The sequence below is a fragment of the Homo sapiens genome, chromosome 17 (genome assembly GCF_000001405.40).
Source record: "Homo sapiens chromosome 17, GRCh38.p14 Primary Assembly".
NCBI lineage: Eukaryota > Metazoa > Chordata > Mammalia > Primates > Hominidae > Homo > Homo sapiens.
Window position 1 is genome coordinate 50,608,114 of NC_000017.11, and position 23,827 is coordinate 50,631,940.

General features: G+C 56.8%; 1 protein-coding gene and 1 long non-coding RNA gene across 36 annotated transcripts in view, besides 2 other annotated features; one reads left to right on the forward strand and one right to left on the reverse strand.

Moving 5' to 3' along the window:
* CACNA1G (calcium voltage-gated channel subunit alpha1 G) overlaps positions 1 to 19,361 on the forward strand; it is a 66,760-nt gene extending 47,399 nt beyond the window's left edge. For 8 of the 35 annotated variants that reach the window (NM_001256325.2, NM_198384.3, NM_001256359.2 and 5 more), the window contains 11 exons: positions 1,769 to 1,822; positions 7,248 to 7,399; positions 8,162 to 8,271; positions 9,325 to 9,458; positions 9,746 to 9,816; positions 9,935 to 10,013; positions 10,109 to 10,230; positions 10,542 to 10,895; positions 15,794 to 15,962; positions 16,247 to 16,416; positions 17,904 to 19,361. In NM_001256325.2, coding sequence (NP_001243254.1) covers positions 1,769 to 1,822; positions 7,248 to 7,399; positions 8,162 to 8,271; positions 9,325 to 9,458; positions 9,746 to 9,816; positions 9,935 to 10,013; positions 10,109 to 10,230; positions 10,542 to 10,895; positions 15,794 to 15,962; positions 16,247 to 16,416; positions 17,904 to 18,638 — 2,150 coding nt within the window. In that variant the 3' untranslated portion in view covers positions 18,639 to 19,361. Of the gene's footprint in view, positions 1 to 1,768; positions 1,823 to 7,247; positions 7,400 to 8,161; positions 8,272 to 9,324; positions 9,459 to 9,745; positions 9,817 to 9,934; positions 10,014 to 10,108; positions 10,231 to 10,541; positions 10,896 to 11,569; positions 11,714 to 13,546; positions 13,682 to 15,793; positions 15,963 to 16,246; positions 16,417 to 17,903 lie in introns of all 35 variants that reach the window. The other 27 variants (NM_198378.3, NM_198386.3, NM_001256360.2 and 24 more) reach the window with 12 other exon arrangements.
* Positions 864 to 1,471: an enhancer, noted in NCBI's record as "H3K4me1 hESC enhancer chr17:48686338-48686945 (GRCh37/hg19 assembly coordinates)". NCBI's record gives its function as "activates a minimal SCP1, AML or CMV promoter by ChIP-STARR-seq in naive H9 embryonic stem cells {active_cell/tissue: H9 hESC(naive)}" and the evidence as "EXISTENCE:reporter gene assay evidence [ECO:0000049][PMID:30033119]".
* Positions 17,436 to 18,208: an enhancer, noted in NCBI's record as "H3K4me1 hESC enhancer chr17:48702910-48703682 (GRCh37/hg19 assembly coordinates)". NCBI's record gives its function as "activates a minimal SCP1, AML or CMV promoter by ChIP-STARR-seq in primed H9 embryonic stem cells {active_cell/tissue: H9 hESC(primed)}" and the evidence as "EXISTENCE:reporter gene assay evidence [ECO:0000049][PMID:30033119]".
* LOC101927253 (uncharacterized) lies at positions 18,917 to 23,827 on the reverse strand. The gene is made up of 2 exons (XR_243718.2): positions 23,627 to 23,827; positions 18,917 to 19,227 (listed from the first exon to the last, which is right to left on the reverse strand). It is a non-coding gene; the product is annotated as an uncharacterized LOC101927253 (long non-coding RNA).

The following is a 23,827-nucleotide window of genomic DNA, read 5'->3' on the forward strand; positions in this document are numbered from 1 at the left end:
GGCCGGGGGCAGGGAGAAGAGGCTCCCACCCCCCTCCTCACCTCCTTCTCCCCAAGAGCATGTCTGCCTTTAGAGCGAGCATGAAGCAGACCACTTCAGCCCCATGGGTAGGGGGAGCTGTCCCCACCCTGGGGCCTCCCAGGACCTCAGCATCATCCTCCCCAGATGATGCCAAATGGAGGTTGACACCCAGCCTCCCCGAGCTTGACTCTCAGAGGAGCCTCACTGGCTGCTCCACTGCCCCATGCCAGCATCCAGAGGCCCAGGGTGGGCAGCAAGCATCTCAACCCTGCACCCACCTAGTGTCTGCAGCTGCCGAGCAAAGCCTCAGCAGATCTCAGTAATGGACAACAGCGTAAAAGAGAACCCAGACACCCCTCCCTCCCTATCTCTAACAAAACTTTCTACCATGATATATATATATATATATATATATTTCTGCTAAACTTAAAAAAAGAAAAAGCAAAAACAAAAACAAAAAAAGAAAACTCCCCTTGGCTTGGGGAAGTTCTGGAATAACCTGGGGCCCTGGAGCCCCTCACCTCCTCACCTGTGCTCCCCAGCATCTCTTGGCATTGGGTGGGTGAAGCCCCCATCCGTCCGTCCTCATGCCCTTATGCCATGGGTGGGCCGAGACTAAGTGAGAAGACAGAGGCCAGGAAGGATGTGAGAGACACAGCAGGCGCCCAGGCCCCTTTGTTTCTGGGGCATCCCCAGATGCGTCTGCACCTGTCTCCCTCTCTCCCGGGCTCCAGGGCTCCCATCTGCCTGGTACAGCGTAATCTCCGCGCCTCTCTCTCTCTCTCAGTCACGGCCCACGTCTCTCTAAGTGTCTTTGTGTGTGGGTTTATCTAAGCCTTTGTGTGTCTGTCTGTGTGTCTCTCTCTGTTTGGGGTGAGGGTTTCCCATGCTCTCTTCACCTTTTCACAAATCGTCTTCCTTCCGCCGATAAGATGGGTGCGGTGGCCTGAGTTTTCCTTTGGTGTGTTCACATGTGAGTACCACCAAATGAGTGAGGGGTTGCCGTGCCCCTGCCTCCCCTCTGCCCTCAGCTCTATCTCCCTCGGCCTGGGAGTGGCACTCTGAGGCGGGGGGAGAGTGTGGGAGTTGCAGACGAGGGTGGAGGTGGGAGGGGGCCTGTGTTCCCTGTGAAGAGCGGGAGCTGCTCCAGGATGTGGGGGAGACACTGGCCTCTGGGCAGCAATGGGAGGTGCCGTTCTCCACGTCCCCAACCCTCACTATCAGCACCCCCAAGGCCTTCTGCTCGGCTCAGGGTAGGGGTCCGGGTTCGGCTTCCCTGTGGATATCTGCAGCTGAGCAGGTGCAGTGTCCCCTGTGGCCACCGTCCCACTCCTGCTCCATCCTCCCCACCCCCACCTCACAGTCAGGCAGATGGAATTCTTTTGGCAGGCGGCACTTGTGGCCCCTGCCTGCCCAGCTGGCTCCCCTTCTGGGGTCTGTAGCTGTCTCAGGTGCAGCTGAGGCCACAACGCAGGAGAAGCGGACATCTGTTCTGATGACCGGCTGCCTGCCCCTCCCGGTGCCTCCCTGCCCCGTGACCCTGACCAGCTAGCCACATTGCTTGTCTTCCTCAAGTGCCCTGTGCCCCCAGCTTCGGGCTGGACATTCAGAGCCAGCCACCCAATGGGCTCAGCGCACCCCACCCATAGGCAGAGTGAGGTGGGAGCTGAGGGGAAGCCGCCCCTGAGGGGCCCTGCCCAGCGCACCTGGTCCGGCCAGTGACCAATGTCGTGTTTCGTTCTTTTAGATCTAATGCTGGACGATGTAATTGCTTCCGGCAGCTCAGCCAGCGCTGCGTCAGGTACTGCGTCTGGGGTGTGGGCTCATGCGTGTGGGGACATGCTCTTCACTCCCTCCCCGTGGCTCATTGATTCTATCCTCTTGGGGTGAAAGGGTGAGGGTCCCTGGGGCCCCCAAGAGGGCAGGGGCTGAAGCGCTGGGCTCTGCAGCATCCCGCAGGCCTGCGCCAAACTGGACGGGAGGCGAGGGCCTGAGGCCTCTCTGCCGACGCCCTTTGGAGAGCCCACCTTCCCAGCAAGGGCTTCCTTGGCCGGCCAAGCTCCCCACCTCCTGCCACCTCTTCCCTCCTGTGCCTCCTCCTTGTAGCTCACCGGTCGATTATTAGAGCTGCAAATCTCTCCTGTCTCCTTTTGTCTGAGGGGAGACTTTGATCCAAGGGAGCAGGATGAGAGGAGCAGAGAGGGGAAGGATTTGTTTTAAAAATGTAACAATGAATAATTGAACAGACTCATTAATAGTCAAGTGATCACGGTGGCTGCGTCATCGCTACAAACAGCAGGAATTGGGAATCAAAGGCCTGAGTTGGCCACGAGCTTCTTCCAAAAAAAGCCAAAGATTTGGGAGTGACTTGGGTCCTTATTTTCAAGAGCCATGTCTCTGGGAAGACTCTCCTGGTCCAGCCCACCCTCCATGGTCCCTCGGTCCCCTGCTCTCCTCTCCCCCACTGGCCCCCAGATGGAGGTGTGGAGGCTCATGGAGTCCGTGGCAGGGCTGTGGGGCCTCATAACACTATGTCTCCAGCTGGTGGTTCCCAAGCTGTTCATCCCCAAGGCCCCCAGTTATCATCTCCTCCAACAGACTTCACACTTTAGAAGGCTGTCTATGAAGTTAAGAGCACTTCAATAATGACTTTCTTTCATCATTTTTACTAATCAGAGGCGCATCTAATTGCTAATCACAGCTTCTGAGCTGCAGAAGGTTACACACTAAATGATGGCAAAGAAAGACCATTTCGTCATTAAATTAGTCTGTGGGGCCTTAACACAGGCAAAGTATAGGGTTTCTTTCAAGCTTTTTGAAGTATTGGAAAGAACATAAGGGCCGGGCACAGTGGCTCACACCTGTAATCCCAGCACTTTGGGAGGCTGAGGCGGGCAGATCATGAGGTCAGGGGTTTGAGACCAGCCTGGCCAACATGGTGAAACCCCGTCTCTACTAAAAATACAAAAATTAGCCGGGCGTGGTGGCATACGCCTGTAATCCCAGCTACTCGGGAGGCTGAGGCAGGAGAATCGCTTCAACCCGGGAGGCGGAGGTTGCAGTGAGCCGAGATCACGCCACTGCACTCCAGCCTGGGTGACAGAGCGAGACTCCATTTAAAAAAAAAAAAAAAAAAAGAGAGAGAGAGAGTGAGAACATAAGGACCCCCATGGCTGCTGCAGGCTTGGAACTTCAGTCTGGGAACCACCGGCTCCACTTTCCCCACTCCTCTGGAAGCTAGAATCAGGCAGATGCTGCCCTGGGGATGTTGGGTGTCATGATCTGTGGGGCCTCAGGGACCCACCCAAGAGAGAACCCCTGAGCCCCCATTGAGTAGGTCATCCCTGAGGCCCTCAGCGCTATGGCCCCATGATGCTAAGCAGTGGTGTTTGGCATTGAGAGACTGCCTCTCTGGGGCTCAGGAGTCTCTGGCTGGTTTGTGTCTGGATTGCCAGGGTCCCCACATCTCTGCATCAGGCTGTCTTGCAAATTCCTGACTTGTTAGGGGATGAGGGGAGGGAGGGAAGAAGTGGCCTTCAGCTTTTCCCTTACGGGCCCACCTGGTCTGTAGACTGAAGTGTGCACACTTTCACACTCACCCCAAAACATCCTAGCACAGGGCTAGCCCACAGAGACTTTTCCACCTTGGGTGTTATCCCAGAAATCAACACATGCAGACTCTCATGGCTCCTAAGACGTGACTCACCCACTCAGTGCTAAACACTCTCGTGACCCTTGCACTGCACTCCCATTCCGGGTACCTTCTGCTGTGCTCCTGAAGTGGATAGACCCCACTGTATCCTGGGGTGGCACACGCAGGCATGTACACCAGTTACCTTCCCTGGCTGTTGGTGAGGACTCAGAGACCCCGAACAAGGGCTCAGGTCATCCCATATCCCACTTCCTAGGACCTGGAGTTCTGCGTGGCCTATGCCAGAGCTTTTCAAACTTCCATGTGCATAAGAATCACCTGGAAAGCATAAACACAGATTCCTGGGGCTTACCCCAGAGGTTCTCCTACAGCAGTGCAGATGCACTGATCTACCCACCAGGGTGATGGGGACAGAGTCAAACGCAGTCCAGGGCTGCTGAGAATCAAACACGTGCACCGCACCTCCCTGCTAGCACTCCTGTCCTGGTGCTGCTCCCAGCAGGGGCGGGAGAGCCAGACCCTAGGGAAAGGCAGAAGAGCGGAGCCTGTGATTATCTGGGGAATGGGCCTGACCAGAAGCCTGGGTCCACCCCGGCTTCCCAGATGGAGGGAGGGACCGGGGCTGCTGGGTCATCAGGCTGCCCCACGGGACGGCTAAGCCTCCAACACCAGCTCCACTCTCCTTGGCCACCTGTGGCGTCGACCTTCACTCACTCACCCTCTTTCCTTCCACCAGGCCGGGACCCAGTGATCAGGCCTGGCCACGGCAGCTGAAGGTGTGGCCTCTGCCGTGGGGGGCCTGTGTCCTTGGGAGTGACCCCTGTCTTCTGCCTACTCATTGCCACTCCCCTTTGCAAACCCTCCGCCCTGGCCATGCCTTGGGCTCCCTGTGACTCCTACTAACTCACTGCCTGTTGCCTTGCGGCCCTCCTTCTGTACCCTTCCTCCCTCCCTGCCCCGAAGTGGGGACCTGGGCTGCCCTAGATATGCCCTTCCCCCCACTGTCTGACTCTGGTATTTTCTCCACCTAAGGCAGCTCATCCTGGTGGGAGGCAGGGAGGTGGTGCCACAGCTACCAATGCATCAGTGACCACAGGTCCAGGCTCCTCCTGGACTATGGTTGGAGCTCTCAAAGCAGCAGGCTTGCCCAAGGCTCCTCCCAGGGGCTTTCTATTTCTTCTCCACACCTGGGTGCTTGCCTGCAGAGCCGAGGTCCAGAGAGCAGCAAAGGAGGGTGGCATCGCCAGGCCCCAACTTTGGAGGCCTTTGGGCAGACCATCCAGGGGTGTCCTCTGGGCCAAGGCCTCAAAGCCTTGTGTCTGTACCCACCTGGCAACTGGCGAGGGACTCGGGCTGGAAGTTCGGGTCCAGCTCGGTCATGCCTCGTAGCTAGCTGAATGAGTCACTTTTTGCCTGGCTTCATTCTCTCCCTCTGAAAAACAAAGGGGTTGCCCGAGGAGATGCTGATCAGATTGGCCTGGTACTCTTTGGACCTGTGCTCTAATGGGGGATTTCTGGCAGCCTCAGCACCTGCCGTCTGGGGTAGGGGCCAGGGTGGAGGGGTGTTTGTACAGACCTCAGGGGCCGGGACCTGTCTATAAGCAGATGCCCTGCCTCAGTCCTCCTGCCCCGCCTTCCTTCTGGGCCTCTTGGAGGAGGGTCCCGGCTGAATTGAAGCCCACCCACCCCACAGACTCCTAGTGCAAGGCCAGAGTTGGTGGGAGCAGCTGCTCCGTTTGGCCTGGAACTGCCTACAGAGTCAGGCTGGGGTGACGGGGAGAGGAGGGCAACTCTCCCAGCCTCTCCTCTACATTGTCTCAGCTAATAATGGGGCTAATAAGGAGCCGCTTTTTCTAACCTAATTGTATTCAAACATTTTAGTTAATTCTCCATTCATATTTTAGCATAATGGGATCGGGTGCTCTCGGCATTTATGGAGATTAATGCAGAGAAAATGTTCCGGCTGCTCAGGCAATGCAGGGCGACTAGCGCCCTCTGGTTCTTGTGGTACTCAAGGAAGGAAGGAAGAGGCCCGGCCCACCCGGCCCACCCTCCACCATCGCGGTGTGGATGACCCGTAGCCTCCTGTCCTCCCTTGCCCCAGGCTCTCCAGCCCCACACTCTTGGGGCTCTGTTCTCGAACAAACAGAGCCACAGTTGGCTGGCCGATCTCTGAAAACAGGAAGATGGCCTCATGCATGCCTAAGGCGCAGCAGAGTGCCGGGGACTGTCTGCTCCGTGGTCATCCACACCTCAAGGCCGATGCTGGAGAGTGGCCAGGTGGGCCAGGAGCATGGCAGCCCACGAGGCTGGATGTGCAATACCTGGGTGCTCTTCTTCCTTCAGCCTCGGGTGGGGGCCCACCCCAGGCCGCTCCTTGCCTCAGTTTACCTCTCTGTTCAATGGTCCTGTGCATGGGAAAGGACAGTTACATCTGAGCTGGCCTGGGCCCAAAGCTTCCTGCTGCCCCTAAGCCAGCTACCCCCTGGCTCAGGCCTCAGAGGCGGCAGCCCTCACTGGCTGGCTTCCCCCTAGACCTCCTGAGACGGGGAAGGGCTGTCTGGGACCTGAGGCTGCCACACACCTCCCCGTGAAAAGCCTCTTCCTTCTCTGTGGCTTCGTGGGAGACCAATCTGTCAACTTCCTCCCAAGAACATGTGCCCCAAGTTGGCCTGGCCCTTCCTCAGCACCTGGAAGAGGGCCCCCCTGAAATCTCCTGCCCCCAGATTTATTCTGCCTCCTTGGCAGCCCAACCTTCTGGCTCTGTGATTTTCATAACTAAGTGGTTCACTAATTACGAGAGAAATATTATGCCTCTGACAGATCTCAGACAGTGCTTCCAGCCCAGCCTGCAGTCTAAGGCTGCCCAAACACCCAGGAGCAGGCTGGGCAGTGCCTCATTAGAAACTGGGTGAGTCCAACAGGTGGGGCCCTCCCAGCTTGAGTCTGGGATGGAGCAGAGCCCCAAGGCCTCCCCTCTTGCTCTCACTGACATGAGGGTACAGGAGGCCCAGGCCCCGCCTTCTGGAGGCCCTCTGGGTGGGTCAGTGCAGCCAGCCAAGAAGATGTCCAATTTCCAATCTCCGGTTTTATCTCCAAATCCCAGCTCTGTGTAATCTCCTCTGCTCCCCCGAGGGGCTGAGCTTGGTGAAGGAGCAAAAGCCTTTGCCTCCCCGTTGATGGCGCGTCCTCTGAGCCTGAGGAGACCAGTTGTTTTTCATCGTATCGATCTGGCCTTGCTGCGGAACACTGAGTCGAGGGTGTTATGAGGGGCTGGTGGATTTTGGAGGCTGCCTAGGGGAGGGGGCTCACCTGGCGTCTAATGTAGGTGGGGGGCTCTGCATGTCCTGATCCATCCTGCCCTCAACTGCAGCCAGTACAACAGATGCTTGGAGGGGGACACGCCCAGACGGCTGCCCCCACCAAGGGGCAGCGTGGGGAGGGCGAGGATGGTGATGATTATGGAATGTTTCAGTTCTGGCGTTAGAGGCTGGTGGCTGTGAGGGACTGGGGGTGGAGGGGTGCGGGGGGCAGGGGCCTGACGCTTGCTCTGCTCTTCCCCCTGCCCCATCAGAAGCCCAGTGCAAACCTTACTACTCCGACTACTCCCGCTTCCGGCTCCTCGTCCACCACTTGTGCACCAGCCACTACCTGGACCTCTTCATCACAGGTGTCATCGGGCTGAACGTGGTCACCATGGCCATGGAGCACTACCAGCAGCCCCAGGTAGGAGCGAGTGGACCAGCCATCTGGCCCCCCCACCTCCAGCTGAGGAACCTCTGGGCAAGGTTAACACAGCCTGAGCCAGGGTACCTCTGTGCCAAGCAAGTGCTAGGCACACTACATGGGTTCCTCTTGTGCCCCTTGGAGGTGGGTATCATCTTTGTTTTATAGATGAGGACACTGAGGCTCAGAGATGTTAGTTGATGTGGCCAAGGTCACACAGAAAGGGAGTGGAGGACCTGGTTTCTTCATCCAGCAAATGTTGAGCGTCTACTATGAGCTGCGCTCTGGATCTTTGAGGGTAAAAAGGCAGATGGATGCCTGCCCTTCTGGAGTTGAGATTCTAGCGAACGTCCAGCTCCAGAGCTCACCTGTGACCTTGCCACTTCTCCAGTCAGCCTCCCTTGGCTGCCTTCCAGCCGTCGGTTTCCCTGTCCATCCAATGAGGGGGTTGAATTTGTAATGCACAAGGCCCCTTCCAGTCCTGGCATGCCGTGTCATCTAGTACATTCTCATGTGATCTCCTCACCATCTCCCAAGGAGAAAGATCCTTTAGCATAAGGTTGATTCATTCATGTGAATAAGTGCCCTACTCCCTTCTGGGGTTTGGTGGCTAATGGCCAGCCATCATGATGGGAACAGAGAAGACAGGGCTCCTTGGAGTTCCCCTGCCTCTCAGACCTGGGCGGTATGATGGAGGGGCGGGGGGACAAGCCCCAGCCCTGGGCCTTAAGGGACCCTGCATCTTGCCCCCATCCCTGCCAGATTCTGGATGAGGCTCTGAAGATCTGCAACTACATCTTCACTGTCATCTTTGTCTTGGAGTCAGTTTTCAAACTTGTGGCCTTTGGTTTCCGTCGGTTCTTCCAGGACAGGTAACGGAGAAAAGGGGGGTCTTGGGGACTTGCGTAGAGATAGAAAGGAATGAGTCTCTTGGGGAAATACCCAGGAAGACCTAGTGTCTAAGACTTTTCTTAATTCCTGAGGTTCAGCCCCCACCCTGTGGCTGACGTAGGGGACTAGGGGATGGGAAGGCATGGTCTCCAGGACCAGGAGATGGGAAGGCATGGAGAGAATTTGACAAGACAGGGCCTGGGGGATGCTGGCAGCTAGAAATCAGTGTGACCTAGCCTGGGGCTTAAGAGCACAGAGCCTGGAGCCAGACTGCCTGAACTGGATTTGAATCCTGGTCTCACCACTTAGTAGCTGGTGGCCTTGGGTAAGTTACTTAACCTCTCTGTGCCTCAGTTTCCTCATTTGTAAAATGAGAGAAAATAATAGTATCCACATCACAGAGTTGTGAGATTATGAATTCCTATTTGGTTTTGAGGGTGTTTTTCGTTTTGTTTTGTTTTGTTTTGTTTTCTGATGCCCAGGCTGGAGTGCAGCAGCTCAGTCATGGCTCACAGCAGCCTTGACCTCCTGAGTTCAAGCTGTCCTTTCACCTCAGTCTCCCAGGTAGCTGGGACTACGGGCACCCACTGCCACACGCAGCTAATTATTTTTTATTTTTATTTTTAGTAGATACAGGGTCTCACTATGTTGCCCAGGCTGTTCTCGAACTCCTGAGCTCAAGTGATCCTCCCACCTCAGACTCCCAAAGTGTTGGGACTGCAGGTGTGAGTTCCTATTTGTAAAGCTCTTAAAAGTGCCTGGTGCATAGTGAACACCATATAAGTGCTAAATTAAAAATAAAAGCAAATGAATACAAATGAAAAGCAGAGGCTTTTGAGCTAAAGTCCTAGTCCTACTCGTGCCACCAGTTGGCTGTGTGGCCTTAGATAAGCCACGCCTCTTCTCTGTGGGATGGGAGGCTGGACCCGCTGATGTCTGCCCTCCTTTCAAGCCCTGTCTTTCTGTGCCACGACTGCCCCCTCCTTCAGGAACCCCCTCCCCCAACTCAGGGAGCTGTATTCTGGGCTTTCCAGGTGGAACCAGCTGGACCTGGCCATTGTGCTGCTGTCCATCATGGGCATCACGCTGGAGGAAATCGAGGTCAACGCCTCGCTGCCCATCAACCCCACCATCATCCGCATCATGAGGGTGCTGCGCATTGCCCGAGGTTGGTGCCCAGCCCACGCACCTGCCCTCCTAGGGTGACCAGCCCAGGGAGAGAGAGCAAGGGTCGGCTTTGTGGCTGGTCAAGGCCTGGGCGGCTGTGGGTTCCCATGGGTCTTTCTCCCAGCTTCTGCCAAGGGAGGCTGGAGACAGGGCTGAGGATGGGGATGCAACCTGGCTGGCCCGGAGATGGCCATCCCAGCAGCCCCAGCCCAGCCCTGGTCCTGACTCTGCCAGCTGTCTGGCCGGGGACCCAAAGAGGCCAGCTCATGACGTTGTCCTGTTCTGCAGTGCTGAAGCTGCTGAAGATGGCTGTGGGCATGCGGGCGCTGCTGGACACGGTGATGCAGGCCCTGCCCCAGGTAGCCGGGAGGTGGGGGGCCTCTGGGGAGGGGGAGGTGCTTTCCAGAGGGAAGGGGCTCAGAGAAGCTGACTGGGAGACCCAGCGGCATCGTTTCTATTTCTTCTCCTTTTTTCCAGGTGGGGAACCTGGGACTTCTCTTCATGTTGTTGTTTTTCATCTTTGCAGCTCTGGGCGTGGAGCTCTTTGGAGACCTGGGTGAGTTGGGGTAGGGGAGGGTGGAGGAGCCAGGGCTGGAGACCAGGGGGCTCCTGGACTAACATGGGCCTCTCCCCCTTTCCCTCCTCCCCCAGAGTGTGACGAGACACACCCCTGTGAGGGCCTGGGCCGTCATGCCACCTTTCGGAACTTTGGCATGGCCTTCCTAACCCTCTTCCGAGTCTCCACAGGTGACAATTGGAATGGCATTATGAAGGTAAGGGCCCAGGGTTGGCCTAGGCTCCAGGGAGGCAGCCCCACTTCCTGAGCTAGGATTCCTTGGGAAGATGAATTGGCCACAAATAAAAGCATGTGACCTTCTCTCCCCCGTGCTAGAACACTCTGGAACTCCCTCTCCCAGGAACATGCTCTGACTCACACTTGTAGTGCTCCTCTGCCCCCAAACACTCCCTCCTCCTCCCCTTCCTTCCCATCCTCCAATGCTCTGTGACACCAGTGACCTGATTTTCCACAACAGCTCCAACAACTGTCCTCCCCAGCCTCACCCCTCTATTCCACCCTCCCCAGGACACCCTCCGGGACTGTGACCAGGAGTCCACCTGCTACAACACGGTCATCTCGCCTATCTACTTTGTGTCCTTCGTGCTGACGGCCCAGTTCGTGCTAGTCAACGTGGTGATCGCCGTGCTGATGAAGCACCTGGAGGAGAGCAACAAGGAGGCCAAGGAGGAGGCCGAGCTAGAGGCTGAGCTGGAGCTGGAGATGAAGACCCTCAGCCCCCAGCCCCACTCGCCACTGGGCAGCCCCTTCCTCTGGCCTGGGGTCGAGGGCCCCGACAGCCCCGACAGCCCCAAGCCTGGGGCTCTGCACCCAGCGGCCCACGCGAGATCAGCCTCCCACTTTTCCCTGGAGCACCCCACGGTGAGCAGACACCCACCCCAGCCGTGAGAGGAGCTGGGGCAGGAGAAGGGTGTGGAGGGTGGTGGGCGGGAGCCAAGCGGGCAGCACACAAACCCTAGGCTCCTCCTGGAGGCTCCCGCCCTCCGTCCTGGATGCTGAGCGAGCAGTCACTGCCCCTCCCCAGGGATGGCTGCCCACACTCACCCCACAGGGCCACCCCAGCAGACGGGCCAGCTTAGCCATGCCCTGCTCCTCCAGCCTGGTCTGGCCTCCCCTTCCTGACTCATAGGTTCAAGGCTAAGTTTTCTGTTTCCTTCCTGTTTCTTTCTTACCCTTGCCCAACTGCCAAATCTCTTTCCTACCCACCCTTTAACCTGCCTGATTCTCTTCCATCTCTCCATCCTTTTATCTTCTCTTTACCGCTCTCTCTCTCTCCCCCCGCCGTGGGCTCTGCTCATTTTCCATCTCCCATCTCTCCTTCCTCCTTCGCCTTCCCTCTTCCCCACCCCCTCCTCTTTTTCTCTTTGTTGCTGTGTGTGTTTTTGTGTGTGTGCACATGTGCATGTGTGTTGTCTGGGTGTCACCTCTTTCTCCTCTGTTTCTCTTGTCAATCCCCTTCCACGACACTTCCCATCACTGCCCTCTGACCCCTGCTCCCCTGCCTCTCCGGCTCCCCTTACGGGCTGGCTCCCCAGGACAGGCAGCTGTTTGACACCATATCCCTGCTGATCCAGGGCTCCCTGGAGTGGGAGCTGAAGCTGATGGACGAGCTGGCAGGCCCAGGGGGCCAGCCCTCTGCCTTCCCTTCTGCCCCCAGCCTGGGAGGCTCCGACCCACAGGTTACTGTGCCCCTGTGCTGTGCCCTCTCCCCTGACCGTGCTGGGCTGTGCCACGCTGTGCCATGCTTCTGGGGAAGCTGGGAGTGTTCCTGCCCACTGGGTATCTGTAGAAAGTGCAGCCTTGGAGCCTCAGTTGAGTGCAAGAGGCAGTCAGGGGTTCTTCTAGACTGAGATCACCTCCAGAAAAGAGCTGGAAGGCAGGGCTGCTGAGATTGCCCCTCTGATGAGAAGGGTGTGTGGAGGAGGAGCTTGGGGAGGGGAGAGGGGATTTGTAAGAATCTGGAAGAGAAAAGAGGGGATGGGGCAGAAGATAAGTTAGCAGGGGGACCTTAGGGGGTGGAGGGAAGGAGGTATCAGATCCAGGGAGGAAGGCCTCCAGAGACAGTGTAGGTGGCCAGGGAGCCCGCTGCCAAGCTGCAGTCTCTCTATCTGCTCGTGTCCAGCACACACTTGCCAGTCCTCAGTTTGGTGGCTTTTTAAGCCATGGAGCCCACTGGGCATGGTGAGTGCTGTCAGGAGCCACTGATTTCTGTCCTGAGAGAGATAGAAGGCTCCAGCTGGGAGTGGATTTTGAGAACTTGGTGTGAAATAGGACTTGGCTTCCTGCCCAAGCCCAGCCCCTTCCCACAGCGCCACATGGCCCTCTCCCCCAGTCCCATTTAATTCCAGGTCTTCTGCTTTCTGGGCTGTTCCTGCCCTCCTCCCCTCCCCTTGATCCCCTCACCACGACCCACTACCACGTGAGAGAGGGCCCCACCCTCCCTCCACCTAGGTGAGAGGCTGCAGACCCGGAGTGGAGACAGGTGTCAGCTGCAGATAGAAAAGCCGAGTCCTCCAGAGGCCCTTTTGGGTGGTGGGGCAGGCAGGTTCTTAGGAAGCCTTTAGCCTGATCCCAGAAAAATGGACAGTGATCCTCATGTGGGAAGGGACCTTGCCTCTTGTTGGGATTCAGTCTCAGATCTGGCAATGACCTAGAATGATCAGTGGGAAAGTGAGTCCCTTTCCGAGGCCTCCCCTTCCTGAAAGAGGCTCACAGGGAAAGGTTGTGGGAGAAGAGGACACGATGGGAAGGTGATGGGGTTCTGGGAGGGACGGTCCAACTGTCCCCTAGCATCCTGTGGGCACTGAGGCAACCCCCTGGGTCCCAGGTGAGCCAGCCAGATGGTGTGGCAGCCCACCCGAGTGCGCCCACTTCAGGCTAACGGGAGAACATCTCCCAGAGCCCAAGTTGGAGAGGGCGGGCGGGCTGCAGGCAGGCGGAGGAGGGCCCACGAGGGGAGAAGCCAGAATCTGGGGGCAGGCCAAGTCCTGCCAGGCTGTTGGAAGCCGAGAGAATAGGCAGAAAACAGCCGTCAGATTGGTGGCATTGTCGCCGGCGCCCCCCGTGCCGCTCTGTCTGTGCCGGGAGGAGAGACAGTGCTTTGCTGGCCTTTCTTCATTTTTTTTTTTTTTGGTATCATCTTTTTGAGAGTCGCAAGCCCTCGGTCCTCCCGCTCCCTCCCTGGGTGGTGGTAGTGTGGGAGGGGCTGGGGAGGCTCCTGGGGTATCTTTAGAATGCGTTTCTGTGTCTCCTCGCTTTGTCAGTGTTTGCTCTGGCTCTTCAGTGCCTGCCGCAGCCTCTCTGATCAGAGCAGGGGGTTGAAGTGGGTGCGGGGAGGCACTGTCAGCTTGTTTGGGGAAAGGGTGGGGAGAGAGAAGGGATGCCTTTTTCCCGCCCCCCTGTGCTTCGTGAAAAGGGGGAAGTGGGGACTGAGAGAGAGCGCGTGTGTGCGTGTGCACGCGCGTGTGCGCTGTCCTGGTTTCTCATGCCTGATCATCTCTCTCCCTGTCTAGATCCCTCTAGCTGAGATGGAGGCTCTGTCTCTGACGTCAGAGATTGTGTCTGAACCGTCCTGCTCTCTAGCTCTGACGGATGACTCTTTGCCTGATGACATGCACACACTCTTACTTAGTGCCCTGGAGAGCAATGTACATACACACTGCCCTCACTGCTCCCGGCCACCCCCGGGGCTGGACTGGCTGCAGGGCTCCAGATCGGCCCAGGGAGGGTCCTGGGGCCGCCTCCTCTCAGTTTGCTGCCAGGCTCCACCCAGAGGCATCAACTGTCAGGACCTCGGTGGCCCACGCTTTGCTGGCACAAGGTCTTCAGGTTCCCCACTGGGGACAAAGAGATTAGATAAGTTTAAATTGGGGCCTTGCCCTGAAGGGTATAGGAGCAGCGGCAGCCATTATGAAAAAGTGAATCCAGACACCCAGGAGTGACACGGCCCAAAACAGGTGTCATCAGAGTCAATCTATGAATTTGGAGCCCTGTGCAAGCCAGCCCTCCCTGTGCCTGTTCCCCTCCTCCCCACCCCACCCCACCCCCCAACAACATGAGACCTTCACACCACGTGGTGGGTGAGAGCCGCATCTCTGCCACCGCTGCCATGCCCTTCTTCACTTGGAGCGCTGTTCCTGTCTCCTCCGTCACTGTCCCCGTGTGTCCCTGCGTCTTCACCAAACTCAGTGGGGTGAATGGGGCTTCTCTGTGCTCTGATAGCTTCCCTACCCTTTCCCTTCTCCAGCTCCCGTCCCTTCTGACTGTGAGCAGCCCCCTCCTCTCCACTGTTCCCCTCCTGTTGTCAGAGGAGGGCCCAGCTGAGGCAGGGACTGGACCACCGGCTGGGGTGTCCCTAGGGGTCTTGGGTGGCTGGCAGTAGTGGAGCCTGGGGCTGAGAGGGGAAGCAAAATAAGATTGTCCTCCAACTTAGCCATCCTCAGGCCTGCTGGGGCTATTTAACTGGCTGGGCCTGCATGGCGACAGGGCCCCTACAGCCTCCCTGGGAACAAGGGGTGAAGGGTTCAGGGGGAAGGGGGTCACAGAGTGATGGAGAAACCTCTTGAGAACAAACTAGGCTCCCTCATGCTGGAGTCCAAGGCTGAGTACCTCCCTTCTCTGAAACAGAGCAACAACCCCACTCCCACCCCGAGTCTGTCCACTAAGGGAGCAGCTGAATTTGGCCTCCACCCTCACCTGCCAGAGTTATTGGTTAAAGTGGAGGTCAGGGAGCCAGCTGTGACATGCCTCTGGTGGTCATCTGCCATTCAACTCACCTGAACCCAACCCAGGCCCTGTGCTGGGACCTGGGGCTGCTGTAAGAACTGGATGAACAGCCTGCAACCTGCAAGCTCTCCTGAGCTGCCTGGTCCCTGCTCCTTGGGAGGGTCCTCTCCCCCTCACCTCCCCCACTGACAGCACAGGGTCGTAGGGGCTGCTGTTGGCTTTTTTTTTTTTTTTTTTTTTTGAGACAGGGTCTCACTCTGTTGCCTAGGCTGGAGTGCAGTGATATGATCCCAGCTCACTATAGCTTTGACCCCCCCGGCTCAAGCAATCCTCCCACCTCAGCCTCTGGAGTAGCTGGGATTACAGGTGCCACGCCACCATATCCAGCTAATTTTTTTTTTTTTTTTTTTTTTTTTTTTTTTAGAAATGGGGTTTTGCCATGTTGCCCAGGCTGGTCTCAAACTCCTGAGCTCAAGCGATCTGCCCACCTTGGCCTCCCAAAGTGCTGGGATTACAGGCATGAGCCACCAGCCACTGTGCCTGGCCTGCTGTTAGCTTTTAATCCTCCCCTGAGCTGCTCTGGGTCAGGGCCCCAGCCCATCCCTGTGGACACCGGGACTCCCTTCAGAGCCTCTAAATGGGGCCTTTAGAATCAGCTTGTGAGCCACCTGCAGGGCTGGGGGCTGGGGGCTGCTCTCCCTTCTCTGGATACCTCCCCGCCCCTCCACCACCACAGTGGGAGCTTAAAGGTGATACAATGTGTGCAGTTTTGCAGGGGGTGGGGGGCAGGGCCTGCAGACTCTCCCGGCTGCCCAGACCCCCTCCTACCTGCTTCCTCCCCGCGTGTGGAGGGCTCATCCATGTGTCTGCCCCTCTCCCCAGCCATGCTCATGCCCATCTCTACCTTGTCCTGGGAGGGCACGGGGGTGAGGGCTGGGCGGGGGGCGCTGCTGCTTTCTGTTGTCAGCGCTGCCTCAGTTACCAAACCCACGCACACCCTCTTCCTCCACCTCCCTCCCCTGTTCCTTTTGCAGATGCAGCCCCACCCCACGGAGCTGCCAGGACCAGACTTACTGACTGTGCGGAAGTCTGGGGTCAGCCGAACGCACTCTCTGCCCAATGACAGCTACATGTGTCGGCATGGGAGCACTGCCGAGGGGCCCCTGGGACACAGGGGCTGGGGGCTCCCCAAAGCTCAGTCAGGTACCAGGGCTAGAGCAGGCCAATTTGGCTCACACAGGGAGATTCCATCCTGGCCTAAGCCAGTCCTGATCTGAGGGGATGGGGAACTGAGGCAGCCAAAGAGGTATCTCTGACCTCAGGGGAGCCTCCAGCCTGGGGGAATGGCTTTGAGTCCAGGGGGTAAGGGTAGAGGCCCTGATGAGGGGGAGAGAGTGGAAGGGAGGGCTCAGGTGAGAACCTGCTCCCCTGAACCCTCCAGCTCCATTCTCTCCCCCCACCCCTCCCCCGCTTCCCTCCCTCCACAGGCTCCGTCTTGTCCGTTCACTCCCAGCCAGCAGATACCAGCTACATCCTGCAGCTTCCCAAAGATGCACCTCATCTGCTCCAGCCCCACAGCGCCCCAACCTGGGGCACCATCCCCAAACTGCCCCCACCAGGACGCTCCCCTTTGGCTCAGAGGCCACTCAGGCGCCAGGTGAGCAGATGTGGAAAGGCAGGCACAGGCCTGGGGGCTGGACCCTCTGCTGCTGGTGATGACCTGTGTTGACACTTTCATTCTTCCAGCAAATATTTATTGTGTGCCAGTGATGTGCCAGGCTCAGTTGCAGATACCAGGGACACAGTACTGGGCAAAGCAGAAGTGGTCTGTGCCTTCTTGAAATTTGCACCCAGTTCCTTGTTCCACTGAGGAGGCCTGGAGACCAGAAGGGGTAGTGCTTGCCCAGGGTCATGCCTATCTGGTCGGAGGTAGAACCCCAGTCTCTGGTCTTTCCTTCCTCACCAACCAGAGCTGCCTCCCAATTCTTCTCCCCACTTTGGACTGAGCTATGGGGCACAAGGCAGGTTTTAAGTGTCTTCACTTTTGGCCAAGCCTAGGGCCCACCTTCCAGAGCCCAGATTCTTTTTTTTTTTTTTTTTTTTGAGTTTCGCTCTTGTTGCCCAGGCTGGAGTGCAATGGCACAATCTTGGCTCCCCGCAACCTCCGCCTCCTGGGTTCAAGTGATTCTCCTGCATCAGCCTCCCGAGTAGCTGGGATTACAGACATGCGCCACCATGCCTGGATAATTTTGTATTTTTAGTAGAGATGGGGTTTCTCCATGTTGGTCAGGCTGAGCTCGAGCTCCCAACCTCAGATGATCTGGCCGCCTCGGCCACCCAAAGTGCCGGGATTACAGGCGTGAGCCACCGCGCCCGGCCCCAGAGCCCACCTGTGATAAGGCCACAGCCCATGCCATGTGTGTGTCCTGAGGCATGAGCGTGGACACATGAGAATCTCAATCCCACATGCTTGGGGGAGCAGGCACAGTCCTTATTCATTCTGCAAATAGTCACTAAGCAGCCTCTGTGTGCCAGGCACTGGCGACACAGCCCCTGCCCCCTGAAGCTCACAGTCTAATAGTGGAGACATGCCTGCCATCAGATCATTGCAGCCTCAGCTCACAGCTGCCAGACACCTATGTGTGGAGGGCAGCAGGGACACAGAAGGGGAAGGGGTCGGTTTTACTTGGGGACAGAGACTGTCACACACTGTGTCACAGAGAACCTGAGTCCGTAAAATCGAGGGATTCTTGCCAATCAGGAAGGGTATTCAGAGCCAAAGGGGAAGTCTAGGCAGAGGCGGGGAGGCGTGAAGGAGCCAGCTCAGTGAGCAGAGATGGCCTGGCTTCTCTCATATCCCAGGAGGCAGGGGCTGCAGAGAGAGCGATTCTTGCAGGCTTAGGGGAGACCAGAGCATGGGGGAGGGAAGACAGGGTTTAGTGGGGAGAGAGGAGGCATGGTGGACAACAGAGGTCAGGCTGCAATGACCCCTATCTACTAGTAAGAGCGGCTACCAGGACCTCTGCTTAGGATAGTCCTGCTGTGCCTGGTGGTGGTGGGCAGGGGGCACAGCCAGCTTGACAGGAGGGCTAGTCCATGCTGGAGAGGAGACTGCTGGGCTGAGCCCTCCCCCACCCCATATAGGCAGCAATAAGGACTGACTCCTTGGACGTTCAGGGTCTGGGCAGCCGGGAAGACCTGCTGGCAGAGGTGAGTGGGCCCTCCCCGCCCCTGGCCCGGGCCTACTCTTTCTGGGGCCAGTCAAGTACCCAGGCACAGCAGCACTCCCGCAGCCACAGCAAGATCTCCAAGCACATGACCCCGCCAGCCCCTTGCCCAGGCCCAGAACCCAACTGGGGCAAGGGCCCTCCAGAGACCAGAAGCAGCTTAGAGTTGGACACGGAGCTGAGCTGGATTTCAGGAGACCTCCTGCCCCCTGGCGGCCAGGAGGAGCCCCCATCCCCACGGGACCTGAAGAAGTGCTACAGCGTGGAGGCCCAGAGCTGCCAGCGCCGGCCTACGTCCTGGCTGGATGAGCAGAGGAGACACTCTATCGCCGTCAGCTGCCTGGACAGCGGCTCCCAACCCCACCTGGGCACAGACCCCTCTAACCTTGGGGGCCAGCCTCTTGGGGGGCCTGGGAGCCGGCCCAAGAAAAAACTCAGCCCGCCTAGTATCACCATAGACCCCCCCGAGAGCCAAGGTCCTCGGACCCCGCCCAGCCCTGGTATCTGCCTCCGGAGGAGGGCTCCGTCCAGCGACTCCAAGGATCCCTTGGCCTCTGGCCCCCCTGACAGCATGGCTGCCTCGCCCTCCCCAAAGAAAGATGTGCTGAGTCTCTCCGGTTTATCCTCTGACCCAGCAGACCTGGACCCCTGAGTCCTGCCCCACTTTCCCACTCACCTTTCTCCACTGGGTGCCAAGTCCTAGCTCCTCCTCCTGGGCTATATTCCTGACAAAAGTTCCATATAGACACCAAGGAGGCGGAGGCGCTCCTCCCTGCCTCAGTGGCTCTGGGTACCTGCAAGCAGAACTTCCAAAGAGAGTTAAAAGCAGCAGCCCCGGCAACTCTGGCTCCAGGCAGAAGGAGAGGCCCGGTGCAGCTGAGGTTCCCGACACCAGAAGCTGTTGGGAGAAAGCAATACGTTTGTGCAGAATCTCTATGTATATTCTATTTTATTAAATTAATTGAATCTAGTATATGCGGGATGTACGACATTTTGTGACTGAAGAGACTTGTTTCCTTCTACTTTTATGTGTCTCAGAATATTTTTGAGGCGAAGGCGTCTGTCTCTTGGCTATTTTAACCTAAAATAACAGTCTAGTTATATTCCCTCTTCTTGCAAAGCACAAGCTGGGACCGCGAGCACATTGCAGCCCCAACGGTGGCCCATCTTCAGCGGAGAGCGAGAACCATTTTGGAAACTGTAATGTAACTTATTTTTTCCTTTAACCTCGTCATCATTTTCTGTAGGGAAAAAAAAAAGAAAAAGAAAAAATGAGATTTTACAAGTGAAATGGAACCTTTTTATATATACATACATACATATCTATCTATCTATCTATATATATATAAAATAAAGTAATTTTCCTAAATAAAAAGCTAATCACGGTCCAGAGTAAAAGCAAAAGGGATGGAGAGTTAGGCACGTCCAGATGGCATTGATGAGAGAGAGATCCTGGAGATGGGGAGTGGGCGGCGGGGAGGGAAGCTTCAGGGCTGCCTCTTTGTGTGTGTATGAGTGTGTATGTGTTTGTGTATATGAGTGCGTGTGTGTATATGAGTGTGAGAGTGTGTGTGTCTGAGAGTGAGAGAACCTGAACCCCTTGCTGTGGAAGGCTGCACCTCTAGCCTGCCCTCCCCAGCCGTGAAGGAGAGGAGGAGCCCCTCCGCCTGGTGCAGGCTGGGGAGGCAGGGTCTCTTCTGCTGCTATCAAAGCTTTACAGCTTCCTCTAGCTAGGCAGCTCAGTGAATGGGAGTAATTCCAGATTAACTCTTATTTCTGCTGACAGCTATCAGCCGCACATTGAAAGCTGGAAATTGGCATAATGAAGCTGTTTTGGTTAATGGGGCCGACTGAGGCTGGGGGAGGTTGCCTCAGAGGCTGCAGATCTGGATCTGTGGGTTGGTGGGGGAGGGGGGAAGTGTTTCTGGGTTTTCCTTCCTGAAGCTTCAGCACGGATTTGCCACACTTCTGGCTGGATGCGTGACCTGAGCTGTCTGGACTTCAGCCTCCTGCCTTGGGGGCGGGCTTAGCTGACTGGCATTACAGGCACTGTCCGATGGGGACCTCGTCCACCTGCCCGCAATGGAATTAAACCGTGTCAACGGAGTGGGCTGTGCTTCCTGAGGATGAGAGTCCAGGGCTGGGCGTCCAGAGGCAACCTCCTGGTGGAGGTGGTAGGGTCAGAGGCCAGGTGCTGAGTGGGGAGCTGGCCCCCTGGGCGGTGATGAGCGAGCGCTCAAGATGTTTACATGCACTGCTGCTGCTGCCTGCCTAGCGGGAGCCAGTGGAGGAGGGAGGTGTGAAGGTGGCCAGGGGCAGGCAGACAGGAAGAGGGGGAGTGGCGTGGCCCAGGCCACCTGTCTGGTGCTACTGCAGACAATATTCTCTTGTCTGAAATCTTGGTGCCAAGAGGTGGTGACCATGGGTCCAGCCAGCCTGTCACCTAGCCACCTCCCAAACATCTGTCCCAATCCCACTCCCTTGAACAGCCCCCTCCCCTCGCCCCCAGGGCCTTCAAACCCCAGGATTGGATTGGGTTTTTGAAACCTCAGTGGCAACGCTCGCTCACAAACCGTCTGATCCGGTCAACTGGGAGCTGGGGGCACCAGGCTGCCGGGCGAGTGGACCTGGAGGCGTTGTCCAGCATTGTTTTCTAAGCTGGGTGAGAGCTTTTCTCATTGCTCTTTTGGACAGAACTCATACCGCTCCTTGAAGCCAAAGCCTGGTTTTATCCTTTTAGGGTGTGCAATAATGTCAAACTTTTTCCTCTGGCCTCCTTGGGTGGGGAGAGGGAGTGCTTGTAGGAGCTGCCATTTAAGATAAAAAAAGCAAAGCTGTACAAAATTCCTAGAGTTCTGTCACCTGGATCTGCAGACTAAGCTTTTATATTTTTGTAGAATTCTATAGCTGTCTATTCCCTAATGACGTTGGAGGGTATGGGGAGGGGGTTCTGGGATCTTTCATTCTCCTAGTGGTTAGAAGATTCTGGGTCAAGGTGAAGCCAGAGAGCTGGACTCCTACCCCTCCCCACTCTTCCAGCACCCCCTCTCCCCGCTCCCGACCACCAGCCCAGCAGCACTAGAGTACTGGAGAGTTGCTTAGGTTGAGTCTTAGCATGCCTGGTTCTTTGTGCGTTCCTCTTCCCCTGGCCTCCTCTTCCCAGTAGGGACCAAGGAATTTGGGGTGAACTTACTATGCTTTTGGGTTGCTCTGTAGAGATCTGCAGGGACCAGCCCAGTGAAAACAAAAAGGTTCCCCTATTCCCTCCCCAGCAGCCCTCTCTGTGGCCTGGAGGGTTTCTCTGGAAGAGGGCAGTGCCTGGAGGGGAGCCTCTGGATAGTGATGTGGAAATATTAACAACAGAGTCAAAGCGGGTATTTTGGGGTAGTCGGGGAGAAAACTGTGACCTCTCCCCCCAATGATGTAAAATCTTTATCAATGATGGAAACTGTTGTGTCTCATTAAAAGGGTTTTGAGGTGGAAAAGCAGCTGCCGCTGGATCTTAATAATAATATCAAACTGCTAACCTCATGCTGCTTGTCTGGGTGGTTATTTGATGCTGCTCTGGGATACATAAGGGGTGGGGGTAGGGGGTGGAGAAAATGAAGGAGGCTGGGATGGGGAGTGGATGGTGGGGGCAGCAGGTCTTGGATGAGGACTCCAGGGGCAGAATGGAACTGGCTAGGGGCTTCAGGGATGTGGGGGCTTTTAGAATTAGGAATATCTACCCTGGTGCCTTTGTCCTCAGCCTTCCCCTTCGGGGTTCAGAAGAAATTGTGACAGCGGCTGTAGGCCCCCACCTCAAGCTTGGCTGTTTCTGCTTCCTCCACCCCCAAGACTCCAGGAAAAGGTCTGTGTGGGGGTGGGGACTGGGAAGAGGAGTGAGCTGAGCTGGGGATAAAAACAAATCTGAGGCTCATATGCAGTCTCTCACTCCTCAACACACCCTAGCAAGGGAAGTCTGATTGCTATTTCTCCATGAGGCAGCGGGGTTCAGAGAGGTTAAGTGAATTGCCCGTGGTCACACAGCCAGGAGATGGCAGAGCTGAGATTTGACCCTACGTCTGGCCAACCTCCAGCCCACACTACTCCTGTCTCTTCTCAGTGTGGAGGAAATGGGGCACGATGGGAAGAATCCTGCTCAAAAAATGACTTGCTGGTGGGCGCTTTTCCAAAGTAGTCACATTCACGTTCATACAAATATGCACACGTGTTCCCCGCATGGCAAACTCAGAGGCTTAGAGAGGCCCCCAGCCTCCCACCTGGTGGGCCACCAGCTTTTGGCCATAGGGAATGGTGGTGAGAGGAGTTCAATCACAGGAGAAGGCATCCCTCAGCTCCAGGCGCTTGTCCAAGAGCTGGCCAAGGGTAGCTCTGCAATCACTGTGGGTTCCCAGGCTCCACCCTTCCGCAGCATAACGCTGCCCTTGAACCCCATGGTACCTGTTCTTTTCCCCATCCCGCCTTCTTCTCTCTTCCTCTCCTCTAACCCTGCCCTACCTAAACCTCACCCACTTTCCAAACAGCTTTCACTCCTATCTCCACCCTAGTCCCCACCTGCCACAGCCTGGTGCCCCATGGCCTATTTTCTCTTCCCTTGGGCCAGCTGAGCAGCCCGTGGAGTGGGGCTGGCAACAGCAGTGCAATGAGGGCATCAGACACCAGGTGGCGGCACAGGGCACCCTCACCTGGTGCCACCTGGTGCCCCTCCTGCAAAGGGACCAAGCCAGGGAGAGGGCACCAACACCGATGGACACCTTCTAGGGACAGGTGCCCTGTATAACCTCAGAAGGAGGAAGCAGGCCTGCAGGGCCCAGTGAAGGACTTTGTGTATGGAGAAGCCCAAACAGGAATCCCCGCCATCTGAGTGCTGAGCCCACGGTGTTCAATATCCCTTGGCTAAAGCTAGGAGACTCAGGGCTAATCCAGGACAATGGTTGCCAGGAGGGAAACGAACTCTCAAAGCAAGTTGAGTTGTGGCCTGGAGTCCCACTCCAGGGCACAGCAAGGCAGGTCAAGGAGGCAGCTGCTCCAGCTAAGCCCCAAAAGGGAATTCTGCTAAGAATTTTGAAACTGTGTGTCTTAGCCTTGGTTCCAGGTGTGGGATCTGCGAACTGTGGCCCACAGAGCTAATTAATTCTTCTTGCTTTGAAAACTCCAGAATTGGGCACAGCAGCCAGCACTCTCCCCTGCATGCCAAATCAGATCAAGTGCAGGTTGGCGGCAGAGGGGCAGCCTCACTGAGGGCCATGAGTGGGGCCAGTGGGGCCACCATTAGGCTGGGGTCTGGAGGAAGCAGACCCCACTTCAGGGGAGAGGACAAGGGGGAGGCTGGGGCGTGGGAGCTGCAGCCTGGTTTGGGGGTGCTCCAAGCCTCCAAGGAGCCGCAAGGGGCTAAAAGGAATCAGGCAGTGCTTGGAGGGGAAGCTTTGCTATTCCACACCCTGCCCCTCTGTCTTGTCAGTTCCAACCTGCCTCTCTCCCTTCGGAGCATTTCCTGTGCCTGGGTCTCCCCATTGCCCCCATTCTGCTTTCTTCTCTCTGCTGTCATGCTTGCTCTGAGCTGTACCTTGCAATTATTTTATCTTTCCATCTCCTTGCCAGGAAATCCTTGACGCCGGGTTCCCCTGGGACACTCACTGCGGGGGAGGCACCGCACATGCTCCATCCATCCTGCCTGGAGCAGCAGTCAGTTGGGGAGGGAGGATGGGGCTTGGGCCATGAAGGCTGGGGGAGGTTTGGTCCATTTCTCTGCTGCAGCCCAACCCACAAGGCCGTTACTGCTTCTCCGGAGCCCTTCCAGCAAGAACCATCTTGGTTCTGAACACTCAAAAGCAAAGT